Below are 14695 nucleotides of genomic sequence, written 5' to 3'. Positions count from 1 at the left end.
TGGCACAGAGGTACACTCATGGCACCGGGGCTTGGCTGCACTCCTCAGAAGTGGTAACAAGGGGCACCGAGTCAACAAGAAAGCCCAGGTTGTCCAGCTGCCAAGGGCTTATCCCAGACACCACCAGTGTCAGCCTGGCAACTCCCATGCCCATCAGAGCAGGAAAAGTGGCAGCAGCCAGGCATGGAGAGAAGGCTGACCCCAGGTGCGCAGGTGAGGTGTTGCATTGCCAGTTGTCACCTGGACTGAAGGACAGATCTGGCAGCAGCCACAGCCGCAGTGCCCACAACGTGTCCCGCAGCTTCCTCTGCTGTTTTTCTTGGTTGACGTGCACTCCGCAGTGGCAAGGGAATGTTGTATTTTATTGCTATATTTTATCAACACACAATTATTTCAGGACTTAGATTTCTCTCCAAAGAATGGATTAATGTTTGATGACCACGTGAGGCCATCCTGACCCAGGCTGGGAAGATGCTTGTGCAATGCAACCTGGTGAAAATCCCTTCCTCCAGGGCAGGGTTTTCGGGTTTTTACCTGGGGTAGGAGAAGATGAGATACTTGGATCCCTCTTCAGGATGAATTTATTTGCTACAGTCTTGGGACATGAAGTTTATCTTTTTAATACCATAGACAGACTTCATCATGCATATTAGAAGTTCACCAGGTATTAGGTAATTTAGATCATAAATTCTCCTCAAAGTGACCCCTCATCTCGGTATTTATATTTTTCCTCTGAAAAGATGGGAGGCATAAAAGCAAGCTTTGTAGTTTTATATCTGTCAGCTTGTCACATAAATATCTCAGTAACTACTGATCTTATCATCATAAAATTTCCATTTGTATAGTTAGACATGTCATGTTGGCCAGTTACACAAAAAGTTAAGCACACACAACATTCAACCCCATTTGGGGCCAGCTCTCATCTTGATGTCTCTCTGTGTAGTCCAAGGAGAGGCCTAGAGTGGACTAGGCTGGAAACGAGCTCCATCTGACAGCAGAGGAATGACAGAGCAGAAAAAACCCCTTGAGGCCTCTGCTCCCCTTTCCTGAGGGTGTTCCCACAGTGCTGATGGCGTGAAGTCCCCTAGAATGAAGGATGCCTGGATGCCTTCTCTAAAGGCAGCAGTGAGGAAGGCTGGCAAACGAAATTCAGGTCCTTTGTGACCTTGATGGTAGATCAGAATTTAAGCCCATTTCCAGGTCCACAATGTTAGCAGGGTGGGTAGGGAAAAAGATGAGATGAACTGTTTTTGTTGTTTTGGAGACAAGGTCTTGCTCTGTCTCTGAGGCTGGAGTGCAGCGACTTGATCCTAGCTCACTGCAGCCTCGACCACCTGGGATCCAGTGATCCTCCCACCTCAGCCTCCTGAGTAGCTGCACAGGCTCATATCACCATACCTGGCTAATTTATTATTTTTTATTTTTTTTAGAAACAGGGTTTCACTATGTTGCCCAGGCTGGTCTCAAACTCCTGGCCTCAAGATATCCTCCTGCCTCCACCTCCTAAAGTGCTGGGATTACAGACATGAGCCACCGTGACCAGGATAAGACTAATTTGTTTTGTTTGTTTGTTTGTTTGTTTGTTTGTTTGTTTTTGAGATAGAGTCTTACTCTGTTGCGCAGGCTGGAGTGTAGTGGCGCAATCTTGGCTCACTGCAACCTCCACCTCCTGGGTTCTACCGAATCTCCTGCCTCAGCCTCCCAAGTAGTGAGGATTACAGGTGTGTGCCACCATGCCTGGCTAATTCTTGCCTTTTTAGTAGAGATGGGGTTTCGCCATGTTGGCCAGACTGGTCTCAAACTCCTGACCTGAAGTGATCTGCCTGCCTCCACCTCCCAAAGTGCTGGGATTGCAGGTGTGAGCCACCGCACCCATCCGTAATTTTGAAACAAGTGTTTATTGATAACTGCTAGGGTCACCCACTGTATGGCTCAGGTGACATGCAGACAAAGCCCCTGTCCCCCAGCAGCCCTGGGCCTAGTATGGGAGACAGTTCCAGTATCCAGTGTGATAGCAGAGACAGACACAAGACAACTTATGGACACAGGGCAGTGGGAACCTTAGCTTTCCTGGGAGACTTGCAAGGGCAGGAATCAGCGAGGTGTCAACACCCTGGGGCATGAAAGCTCCACTTGGTTTTCAGACTCAAGAGAAGACTGGATATTCATATCTATTGAATGTGACTATTTATTTTTCCATTTACTACTTCTTGATCACTAGCTGTATGCCGGGCACTATGCCAGGGTCAGAGATGTGGTAAGAACTGAGGCCCATGCAATCCCTGACCTCCCAGAACCTACAGTCTAATTGAGGGGAGGAGGATGAGCAGTGAAACAAAATGTCACACAGATAACTTTGTTTCCACTAATACTCTAAGTGAAGTAACTTAGGAATAGAAAACCAAACATCATATGTTCTCACTGATATGTGGGAGCTAAGCTATAAGGCCATAAAGGTGTAAGGATGACACAGTGGACTTTGGGACTTGGGAGGAAAAGTGAGAAGGGGGTGAGGGATAAAAGACAACAGATATGGTGCAGTGTATACTGCTCGGGTGATGGGTGCACCAGAATCTCACAAATCACCATTAAAGAACTTACTCATTTAACCAAATACCACCTGTACCCCAGTAACTTATGGAAAAATAAAGTAAAATAAATAAGGCTGGGTGCGGTGGCCCACATCTGTAATCCCAGCACCTTGGAACGCCGAGGCAAGCGGATCACGAGGTGAGGAGATCAAGAGCATCCTGGCCAACATGGTGAAAACCCATCTCTACTAAAAATACAAAAATTAGCTGGGCATGGCAGCCCGCACCTGTAGCCCCGGCTACTTGGGAGGCTGAGGCAGGAGAACTGCTTAAACCCAGGAGGCAGAGGCTGCAGTAAGCCGAAATTGTGCCACCACACTCCAGCCTGGGTGACAGAGTGAGACTCCATCTCAATCCATCAATCAATCAATAAAATAAAATATATATTGACAGATTGACTATCTAAAATGCACAAGGGACACTTAGGTATTGTGAGGGATCATAAGGATAAGACCAAGTCCCCAGTCTTAAAGAATTTATTACCTAATAAAGCAAAATGAGATACATTCCTAAAAAAAACCCTTCATCTCCAGGGCAGAGGAGAGCTCGCATACTAATTAATGCGTGTGAAAGCATTCTGCACACGCAGTGTGTGGTAGGTGTGTTTCAGCCTACATTGCAGCCTGATGCCATCGCTAAATAAGCCCCACCCTGTTGGGGACTCACAGAGCTGCAGACTCCAGAAGGCCAGCCTCGCCCCTGGTGACATGGGAGTGGGGGAGCAGTGAAAGCTGAGGTCTCCGAGGGGCATGTACTAAACTACACTGTGGTGGAAACAGTATTGCAGTTGGGGCATTGATCTCGGGTCCATTTTAAAACACAAACTTCCTTAAAGGTGACTTTGACTGAAACGGGCTCAGCAGAGGACACTGCACTCTGAGAGAGGGCAGGTAAGACTCAGCGGTCGGGATAAGGCAGAGCTGACTGAGGACAGGTCTGGGCGACAGAAAAGAAAACAGGGACTGGAGTGGCCTGGTTATATGATTCTGTGACTTTTTGATGTTTCTTATTTTTTATTATAATTATTATTATTTATTTATTTATTGAGATGGAGTTTTGCTCTCGTTGCCAAGGCTGCAGTGTAATGACGTGATCTTGGCTCACTGCAACCTCCGCCTCCCAGGTTCAAGTGATTCTCCTGCCTCAGCCTCCCCAGTAACTGAGATCACAGGTGTGCACCACCACGCCCAGCTAATTTTTTTTTTGTATTTTTATTAGAGACCGGGTTTCACCATGTTGCTCAGCCTGGTCTCGATCTCCTGACCTCAAGTAATCCACCCGTCTCAGCCTCCCAAAGTGCTTGTTTCTTGTTCTTTAAAAGTCACCCTTTGGTGGCTTTTTATTTAAGACAAATATTCTTATCCTTTGATTCTAACCTAGAAAACGATTAATGATAGCTATCATGCATTCAGCCTTTACAACATGTCAAGGGACAGGGTGCAATGGGCCTCATTAGCCTTCACAACAACTCCCTGAGTCCAACCCCACACACCCCATTTACAGATGGGGCACAGAGACGGAGCAGTGGGCAGACCTGAGACGTGCAGTGGAACCGCCTGATGCTCTTCCCTGATGTGCTTGGTGGCTGTTGCCGCCCACAGCTTTCCGTGTGTCTCTCTTGTCTGCCCCAACTGCAGCAAGCTTTGGGGAGGCCATATGTGCTCAGAGGGGACATGAAATGGCAACACACGTGAAGCCAGCATGGGAATGTCTGAATTTCAGGGAAGAACTGCTCTTCAGAAAACAGCTCTTATTCTCTCATCAGACAATATTCCTTTGCCCGCGGAGCCCAGAATATCCTCCTCCACCTGAAACTATCCCTCCCTTGAGGATGCAGCCTGAGTTTCACTCTTGCGGGACACACTGTCCCTGACATCCTCTGCCTCTGGCTGGAGGCAGCATCTCGTCTCTTACCTGATAATGTCCCTACATTGCATGCAATGAAAGTGGTTCTCAGAGGCCTGCACTGCCCGGGGGGTCTGTGTTGTTTACCATTCAACATCCTTGAGACATGACCTAGGCTGTCCTAGGTGAACCTGAGGGACAACAAGAGACACAGATTTGTGGAAGGGACAGCTCTGGACAGACCAAGAGCGTTTGTCCCAGGTGTAGGACTCACTTTGGCAGTTCAGACACCTGCAGGTCTCCAATGCACCCCAGGAGCCAATCAAAAACAGTGGACCAGGAAGCTCAAGGCCAGCTGCGATGCCTAGACCCTTTGGTCGAATATGGACCCATTACCCATGAGTAAAGGAAAAGAGAAGAAAAGTCAGGATGAGAAAATCAGGACTTCTCAGGTGCAGTCAGAGGAGAAGATCCAATTCTTACAGGAAGACAACAGAGAATCCCCAAAGGCTGCCCCAGATCCACAGCTCATCTCCCCACCAGAGCACAATAGCAGGAGGCCTTCCCACTTGTCTTGGTTCCTCTCACAGACACGAGGAAATTGCATAGAAGGTCCTTCCGAGGTGGTTCAGGACTGATTAGGAGAGGAGTGTTGTTCACCATTCGACTTGGTTCTTTTTCTGAGTGATGCACAGCATTTTAATTCTCAAGCTAATCTTTGATTAACATCTAGGAAATTTGAGCCTTTTAATTAAAAGAAAGGGAAAGTTTAAAAAGAAAATAGGTCAATGGGCCTTTCTGAAAGGTGGCCCCAGTGAGGCTAAAGGCTTGCTTTGGAATTTTCAGGTTCCCCAGTGTTAATAGAATTTAGATCACATTGAGAATTTAGATCGCAGGAACAGAAAGCGCTGTCCTTTTTCACTGACCCAATTTGAGAAGTAAAAATTGATCAGCAGACCAGCTGGGCATGCAGACATAGACCACAGCATTTGCATGGACTGTTAAGAGTGTTATTCACAGCTTCTGGCAGAGAGCTGGGTGCTTCCCTGCATCCAAGACAGCGTGCTTGCAATGAAGGAACCCCTGCTTTCATCACCTGTGCATGAGAGAGACCTGTTACAGCCCCCAGGGGTGGGGTGAAACCAGGTAGGAAAATGCATCAGGGCAGAGGGGAGTTGCGAGAACATCTGTCAACCCTGCTGCTTAGTAGCACTGTTCCCTGAATCTGTGGAGGGAGGTAGTGATATGGAAACAGGAATTCCAGGGCCTCTCAACTGTATTCATATTCTGAGTTTCCTCCTTCCATTGCCAATGAACTAGAAAAAAAATGTGTTACTAAGATTTTAAAAATTAAGACATAATTAACATAGGATGCATGCACAGCTCTTAGGTGTATAGTTTCATGCATAACATTCATGCAAACATCAGCCTGATCAAGCTCTATGACTTTTCCATGACCCCGGAGTGTTCCTTCATGCCTCTTTTTGGGGAGATTCTCTCCAGAAGCAAGCATGCTCTGTTCTGATTTCTCTCACCATAGCTTAGCCTTCCCTGCTCTGCAACTCCATATGCATTAGATCCTACAGCGTAGACTCCTTGGAAGCTGGCTTATATGGCTCAACCCATTGTTTTGAGACTCATATGTGGTATTGTGTGTATTCGTGGCTTATTTTTTATCACTGAGTAATAGACATTTTACAGTTAGACCACAGCTGGTTAAGCCATTCACATTTTGATGGACATGGAAAAAGAAAATTTAGAAGACTCTAGAAAGGGGGAGGGAAAAAAATTATTTTGAGTCAGAATTAATACATTCATTCCACGGATGTTTGCGAAACGTCAGTGCTCTGCTAGAGCTTGTGCTCAGCACTGTGAGTGCAGCTGTGAAGGGGACAGTCAGGCACCGGGACTCATGCACTTGGACCTAGGAGGAGATGCAGATTATGAACAAGTAAACAGACACATGGACAAGATGATTTTAGATTGTGATAGGTTCTCTGAAGCCAATTCTCTTATGAAAAATAAACCAAAGATTACGTTTTTAGGACTGATACTTTGGTAGAGTAGATTTTTTAAAAAATAAAATTGCTATTAAGATCATGAATATGATAAAAATTTGCATCAATTTGTGATTTTTCTTCCGTAAACATCCTTATTAACCAGTGAGTCCAGGGTAAAGTGTGAAATCTGCATCTCACATTGACTCTTTCTTCCTTGCCATGTGTTTTCCTAAGTCTCTTTCCTCTTAGCCTATTACCTCTTGGTATTACAGATACATTTGTAGTTGTTCAATGGAGATTTCATAAAAAATAAAAATCCTGGTTCAAAGAAAGAAAACTAAGAAATATGTGCTGTGGGATTTGAATTATTTCTTGCTAAAACAACCACCACCCTCTCTCTATGCAAGATTCTTGACACAAATATTTTCAAAGAAAGCAATTTCCCTCCTTTCACCATGGGCTGTCTCTCTACAGCTGGCATTGTTCAGAGGAAGAAGGAGGCACAGGGAAATACTTTAGCATTCTATAATAAAGTAGTTCATGGCACAATTAAAATGATGTAGTAGAACAGTAACATGATATGCTGAATTTAAATAACTGAAGCTGATTAAGGAGGACGTCAGAATTAAATGCTTGATGGAATTGACATAACACATCCAAGATGGCCTCCCCATGTTTCAGCGGAGAGATGGTGCCAATCATTGATATTTTCCAGGCAAATTTGTTGATAGATAAAACATTTTTATAGACTTTCCATTATTCCTTGTAGACATCAGCTTTTAATTTTCTCTTTCTAGTTAATATACTTGTGTATAATTTAAACAGAAAACTGTTCTGTTTCATCATAAAAGATTTGCCTGTTACTTTGGGTGTGTAAATCAAGTGGGCAGCACAACATTCTTGAAACTTGTTTTTTAAGGCATTTGTTGACAACAACAGAAAGGAAGATCACAGACACCGCCAATAAGCATGGACATCAATTATTTTTTAATTGTATAGGAGTACAGTACACTAATTAAAACTAGTATATCTTGCAATGCCAAAGGCAAAATTAATTATTAATTTTTATTAATATTCAGAAGTAGCACAAGGAATGCATTAATAAAGATTTGGTGGTTGTGACTGAGATCTTGTTTTGCTTTATATTTTAGAAAAAAAAAAAAGGTTTTCTGGCTCGATCTGAATAAAAAGAAGCTGGCACCGAAGCGATGATCTTTATTGAAATGGAATATGCTCACCAGAGTGGGTATTTAGTGACAGAAGATGAGATGTGGAAGGAGATTATGTGAAAACCCCAAATGCTTGTCTATAATGGTTTGACTTGACAACTCTACAATCACCTGCAAAATTGTTGTTGTTACCTTAGATACTTTTGGTTATTAAATTGAGTATTTTAGTTAAGCCATCTTGAGTTGACATTTAATAATTCATTTAGGAGCCGTGCACAGAATATTACCCAGCTCACCAAATCCAAGATGAACAAAATTAGTTTTGTGCACTAAAAAGATTTTGACAAGCCTCTCTCCTCCTCTCCTCACTCTCCCCTCCTTCTCGTCTCCTGTTCTCCTCCTTTTCTCCCTCTCCCTTCCTGGCCTCTCCTCCTCTCACAGTTAGAAGCAAGCCCGTAAGGCTTTCTTGTCCTACAGGGCAAAGACGGAAGCACATTTACAGTTTTTAGGCTAGGGTCTTTAAGCCCATCTAGGCGCAGTCCTAAAACCGTGTAGGATGTAGATAGGTCATTAATCTGTGCTTGCTTTTTTTAAGCAGCCCTGATTTTAGATCTTTCATGTCCACTTCCTTGAGAAACAATTTTGCCTTTGTAAAGTCTGCACCAGTAAAATCCTTCAGTGACACCCAAAATGTCGACACAGCCAGCGGGAGGGCTGCATGGACATGTGGGCTGGTCAGCCGCAAGCTCTGATATCCCGGAACACACGTCCATCCTCCCGGGTGGACGGCAGTAGAGCCATCAGACCCACATCCGCCTTCGTCTACCATGTGGGGAATGCTATGCCTCGCACAGCTCAATCCTGCATGTTCGCGAATCTTCAGGGGTGAAAAGGAGAGGAACGGAGCATTCACAGCTACAATGAAGCTACAAGCAGTTGTAGGCAAAACTGTATGGTACAGCATATGCACAGTGCATGCCTTCCCTTCACACCTCGGAAGGCAGCAGGACTCCCCGGCAAGCGCAAGCTGTCACCATTCCCTTGGGAAGGCAGCTCTCTGAAGAATACTTCTTCCACCTGATGGTCCACCTTCCAGAATGCAGCTCCTGGGAAACAGCAACAGGCCAGTCTGGGAAGGCATGTGTTTCCTCAGATGTGTTGGAACATTTCCTCTGAAAAATAAGAGGAAAAGTGGATCTGATGTCATACTGGCAACCTCTCTGATGGGACTCACATACCTGAGGGTAAAGGTGGCCATGGAGTTAGAATCAGCATTGACTCCAGATAAATGCATGGCCATGTTGGCTCATTTCTCCCCATCAGAGTTTAGACAGGGGTGAAGGAGGATGGCTTCATCACACCATGGCGTGTGATGCACCAGCTGCCTGCAGGTGATGTTGAAGATAGCCAGGTGATCTCTGACTCCTAGGACTTTAAATGCTTAGCAGCTCGTATCAAGAGAGGTTACTGTCTTGCCTTGGTATTGTTTTTTTAAATTATTCCTCCAAAATCACATAGATAAATACTGCAATGTATACCAGCTGTTAGTGAGACATTATGATGAGTTGGTTTACAAAAAGGAGATTTAATTAATTCATTCAAACAACGAATACTTTTTGGGCACCTACACTATTCTGGGAGTTTTGCTAGGTCTGGGGGGTTCCAAAATAAATATGAAAGGTAAGTGTTATGAGTTTGCTGTTGCTGCATAACAGACAGCCCAAAACTTGTGGACTTAAGCAGCAATCCTGCATTACCACCCAGGTGTCTATGAGTTGGCTGGGGCTTGGATGATCTAGAATGGGCTTGACTAAGCAGCTCTCCATCTGGGATTGCTAGGGTGTCTACAATGTCTCTTTCCACCTGTCTCTCGCACTTTTTGGATCAGAGAGGTAACTGGGGCATGTTCTCCCCATGGTGATACCAGAGGCACAAGAGGGTCTACTGAAATCAAGGGCTTCTAAATGCCTCATCTCAAAATTGGCACCCTCCTGTCTCCATCTACATTCCATTGGCTAAAAGTAAATCACATAGCCAACCTCAGAGCTCAGAGTTAAGGAAGCATATGCAACCTGTGATGAGGCCACAGCAAGGGTGTGGATGCAAGAAGGTGTGATGGAGGTCAACAGTGACACCTACAGTGGGAAGATATCATTTCCTATTCTTCATGCTGCTGATGGGCACAGGAATGGTATTTTGGTCCATTAAGGCTGCTATAACCAAATACTATAGACTGGGTGGCCCACAAATGACAGGTATTTATTTCTTACAGTTCTGGAGGCTGGGAAGTCCAAGACCAAGGTGCTGGCAGATTCGGTGTCTGGTGAATCAGCTTTCTAGTTCATAGACGGTGACTGCTTGCTGTGTTCTCACATGGTGGAAAAGAAAAGAGATCTCTCTTGGGCCTCTTTTATAAAACCACCAATCCTGTGCATTAGGACTCCATCTCCATGACTTAATCACCTTCCAAAGGCCCCACCTCCTAAGGCCGTCACCTTAGGGGTGAACTTCAACATAGGAATTTGGGGAAAAAGCACAAACATTCAGAGAGTAGCAAATGATGACTTCTTCCCTGAAAGTATTGGGGGGAAAATTCCCACTCCATTCCCTCTTTCCTGAAGGACAGCTGCTGGGAAGGATGAGAAGATGTCCATGGGTGTCTTAAGCTACGAAAGAGTTGCTATTCCCTGTGGTCTGCCTCAATTTTTCCTTTAGGGACCACAGGGGAAAGATGCTGTTGGCTTCTGCTTCCATGTGACAGATATCCTTCCCCACAGCAAGTCTACGGCCTGGTTCTGTCTCTGCCTGGACTCTGTCAGTGGCCGGAGACTAGACAGAGGAAGACAGGGAGGCTTGGGCTCTCTGCAGATCCAATCCAGCTCTGCAAACAACCATGCTATTTTCATCAACCCTTGACCCTTGGGTCTACTTCTCATTTGTTTGAGAACTCAGAGGAGAAGGCCTCTGATTAGCATCTTAGAAGTTCCCAAAATGTCACATGGATTCTGTCCTTGCAGAGCTCCCAGGGTGATATGGGGCTTATCTGGGGATGACACGGGGCCAGGGCCTTGACATCCCTACACACAGAGGCATCCCCCTTACTGAGGTTCACAGGATGTAGCATCTACCTCCTCTCTGCACCTCAAATATTCCCCAATTAGTGTCCCCATTGACCTAGTGGGGTGAATCTTCAGCTTCGCATCATAATGTGGAAGACAGGTGGTGCTTACATGAGAAAGAGAACAGAAGAGAATTAACACATGATGCAAGCAACTGGATCAATGGAGACATCCCAATTTGATAAATCAGGCCCAGGTTTGTTTGTTTGTTTTTTTAATCTTCATCTATGTAGTTTGTCCATCCAGGTAGTAACCAAAGACAATGTCCTGCCTCCAGTCCTACTGCTGGTGCCCCAGCTCTTCTCTGCACTAGCTCTCATGCTTTCCGCACTTCTGTCCACTCACCTGCAAGATGCAGGTGAACACAGGACCCCCTCTTCAGATGACTGTGAACCTCCGTGAGATCCAGTGGATGGGAAGTTCTTAGCACAGTGCAGGGCACACCGGAAGGACAGATGGGCCACGAGTTTCATTATTGACCTAGCGCACACATTCTTTGAGGTAGAGGCTGGCAGAGACTCAAGCTGCATCCTCCCCCGAACAGATGTGGACCCTGTTAATCGTGGTCTTTCATCTTTGCTTACAGTTATGTGACACTGCTTCTCTAAGCAGATTTGGGGAGAGATTTGTTTTCATAAATCATGTTTATATGTTACCGAAGCTTTGTTTACTCATTTAGGAACAAGTTAAGGGCATTGGGGTACATGTCTGTGGGGACAGATGGGTGGGGAAAGGAAGTGTTTGAAGGAGTTCTTTGGTACATACACAAAGGTAGGAACTGACCCAAGAACCTGGCTTCAAAGTCAGATGTCGAGCTGTTTCACTATGTGACAGACTGAGGGCCAGACTCAAAGCGGGGCTGGGTAAGGCTTCTTCACCCAGATCCTAAAATTACGCAAGTCCATGAAAATCCCGTTTTGATTACATCAAGAACTTCTGGCAGAAATATTTCTGGTACCTAACCTTAAACTGGAGGATATTGCATTGGCGGTGGCGGCGCTGAGAGCACGAAGCCTCAGAAGTGGGACAGCTGTCGGAAATCAGATGTTGTCTATGAGAGTTTATTATGCTCCCTCTACACTGCTCACCCTCGGCAAAAGCCAGGTGAGATCCTTTCACCAATGAGGATGCGTTTCCTCTCTAGGGTTTCCTGAGCCACCTGTAGGGCCAGGAGAGTCCCTGAATATTCAGAATATGCAGAAACTCCTCTGACAAGCAGCTTTGCTTAAGCAGAGAATGTGATGGTGTCCAAGGTGGCTTGGATAAACTTTACACTCACAGAGAAGGCTCTGAGCCTTCTTCTGGGCTGTGGGCATTAACCTGAACCAAGTAATTGTGTATTTTTTTTAACTTTTATACTTTTCTACTTTAGATATGTACTCACATGCAGAAAAGAAATCCCTATGTTATTTTTTGTCAAAACCCAGTTTACTTGTTATTTTCTTTTTAAAACTTCCCCGACAACTCCACTGGTCACTTCCATATGAATTTCAACTCTATTCCCCATTCATACCTCTCTGGCATCACCAGCTTGTGATGGTGGTGATGTCATCTGACTCCTGGCTAGAGACCCACGATCACCCTGAGACAGCATGTATGTCTTCTTCTTTATGTACTTCCAGTGCCCAACCAAAGCCACTGGTTCTGAGATAGTTTCAGAGAAGGTGGGGCTGAGCTGAACGAACACATCCAGCATGGGTCTAATTATTTGAACAAGTAATTGGATTGGATTAACCACTAGCACGTTAACCACCTGACGAGAGTGAGTTGACTAATCTTACCGTCTTATATATAATTGAGAGTAGATTCCGAATGAGAGGTGAGAAGAGCATCTCTGCATTTTTAGGGGCATAAGAGAGGCCTTGTTTATTAATTCAACCATAATCATTGGTTATCTACCTTGTGTAAGGCCCTGTCATAGGCACAAGTGATAGGTTTATCACTAGTACTAGTATAATTGTTACAGCAGGTAGCTAGTCAGACAGGAACAGGGCAGGAGAGCCCCCCTGACTCCCTCCCTCTCTCCCTCACCAATCAGGAATGTCAGGCAACCATCAAGTGATGGTGAGGTAGTTGTTAAGTATCTCTCTAAAAAAATAATTGATCAATGACAGGGAAAGGCAGTCTCCCAATACACAGAAACACCTGTAATTGCTGATCAGCAGCTTCCCGATGACATCTCAGGAGTTGGGCAAGCGGGCTCAAGCATGAGCACTAAGAGGCAAAATGGCGGAGTTTAACCGGTATAGCATTTGGACTGGTAAAGGAAGAATGCCTCATGTGAGCATGCGTACAACTCCAGTAAACGCACCACGCATGCAGCCCCTCCCAAGTGCTACTGGGCCACTGTACATGGGCACAGCCCACCGCAAGGGAAGAATCAGGGGAGAAGTTTTTAATAAACTTTCACTCCTTCTCTAAACTTGCCTCGGTCTCTCACTCTGCTCTTCGTTTGGATTCTTTCTTCTGAGGAGACAAGAACTGAGGTTGCTGCAGACCCGTATGGATTCGCCGCCGCTTACATACTTTGGTGCTGTGTGACTTGGGTACATTCAGTTGGTAACATAACTAGGAAGGGGTGTATAGGCACATGGGTGGAAAAAAGTATGTATAAAGCTCCATCCTCATGGAGCTTACATTCTAATGACAGGGAGACAGACAAAAACCAAACTACCAAACAGGTCAGATGTTAAGTGTTGTAAGAAAAATAAAGTAAGGCGGGGTTACAGAGAGAGCCATGGGGACAGAGCATTGCAGTATTGAAAGGTGGTTAAAGGACCCCACATAGACTGCAACATTCGAGCAAAATGCATAAAGGATTGAGGGAACTGACCATGCAGGTAATGGGGGAAGAGCATTTTTCAAGCAGAAGCAATGTCATATGTAAAAGCTACAAAAATATTAAAGAAAGCTTTTTGGGTAGAGGAAAAATGACACCAAATTGAAACAGATTTATAAAAAGGGGTAAGTGCCAGGGAAAGGCAGTCTCCTGATGGACAGAAACATCTGAAACTGGTGATCAGCAGCTTCCTGATAAGATCTCAAGAACTGGGATCTTATAAGATTCTTGATAAGATTCTGTCAATTCTTGATAAGATCAAGAATTGGGCAAGCGGGCTTAAGCATGCCCACTAAGAGGCAAAATGGCAGAGTTTAACTGGTTTAACTTTCGGACTGGTAAGGGAAGAATGCCTCACGCATTCAGCAACTCCAGTAAACACACTGCCAGAAATGGCTAATAAGTGAGTAATCATGAAATAGGTTTCAATTTTTTTTTTTTTTTTTAGATAGGATAACTTTAAAAAGATATAGATATAGATAGTAGTGTAGTTCAAAGTGTCTGCAGAATTAAAATGTCTGGGCACAATAGCACAATGGATGGGAGGACGGGAAGGAGAAAGTGGAAGATACTATTTTAAGGTTCTTATGTTAAACCTGAGGTAACATAATAGTATTTCAAAGCAGCCTTTAAAGAAGTAAAGGTACACATGGCAAGCCATAAGCAATTGCTGAAAAATGGAAGAAAAATGTATACCTGATAAGCCTAAGGTAAAAATAAAATGGAATACTAAAAAATACTCGATTGATTCAAAAGATGGTAGGAAAAGAAGCAAAGAACAGATGGGAGAAATAGAAAATAAATACTGAAATACCACATTAATAATTATAATAAATATAATAGTCTAACACACCAATTAAAAGCCAGAGATGAACAGACTCGATGAAGAAACAAGACCAAATACATGCTTAATGTTTTCCTGTGAAAATTCCTGCTCTGCATTTTGGGAGATTTTTATATTTCAGTCAAGAAATTGGGAAAATGAAAAAAGTATAAATCTTGGATGCAAATTCAAGGTTAACGATAAATATAGACATTTCTTTTAATTACTTTCAAAGGCAAAAACCGCAATTACTTTTGCACCAACCTAGTAGTTTTGAGGAATCCACTGATGTCAACTCAAAAGCATGAA

General features: G+C 44.4%; 1 long non-coding RNA gene across 4 annotated transcripts; it reads right to left on the bottom strand.

Moving 5' to 3' along the window:
- Positions 1–7400: 7400 nt before the first annotated feature.
- LINC03103 (long intergenic non-protein coding RNA 3103) lies at positions 7401–13012 on the bottom strand. Of its 4 annotated transcripts, none has more exons than NR_172937.1 (4): positions 12870–13012; positions 12238–12368; positions 9876–9966; positions 7401–8777 (listed from the first exon to the last, which is right to left on the bottom strand). It is a non-coding gene; the product is annotated as a long intergenic non-protein coding RNA 3103 (long non-coding RNA). The 4 variants fall into 4 exon arrangements; NR_172935.1 differs by lacking the exon at positions 12238–12368 and adding an exon at positions 11070–11204 and having other exon boundaries at positions 9876–9973; NR_172934.1 differs by lacking the exon at positions 12238–12368 and having other exon boundaries at positions 9876–9973.
- Positions 13013–14695: the final 1683 nt, after the last annotated feature.

Source organism: Homo sapiens, chromosome 19 (assembly GCF_000001405.40).
Source record: "Homo sapiens chromosome 19, GRCh38.p14 Primary Assembly".
NCBI lineage: Eukaryota > Metazoa > Chordata > Mammalia > Primates > Hominidae > Homo > Homo sapiens.
The sequence above is the reverse complement of the archived record's forward strand: the minus strand, read 5'-3'. Positions and strand labels throughout refer to the sequence as shown.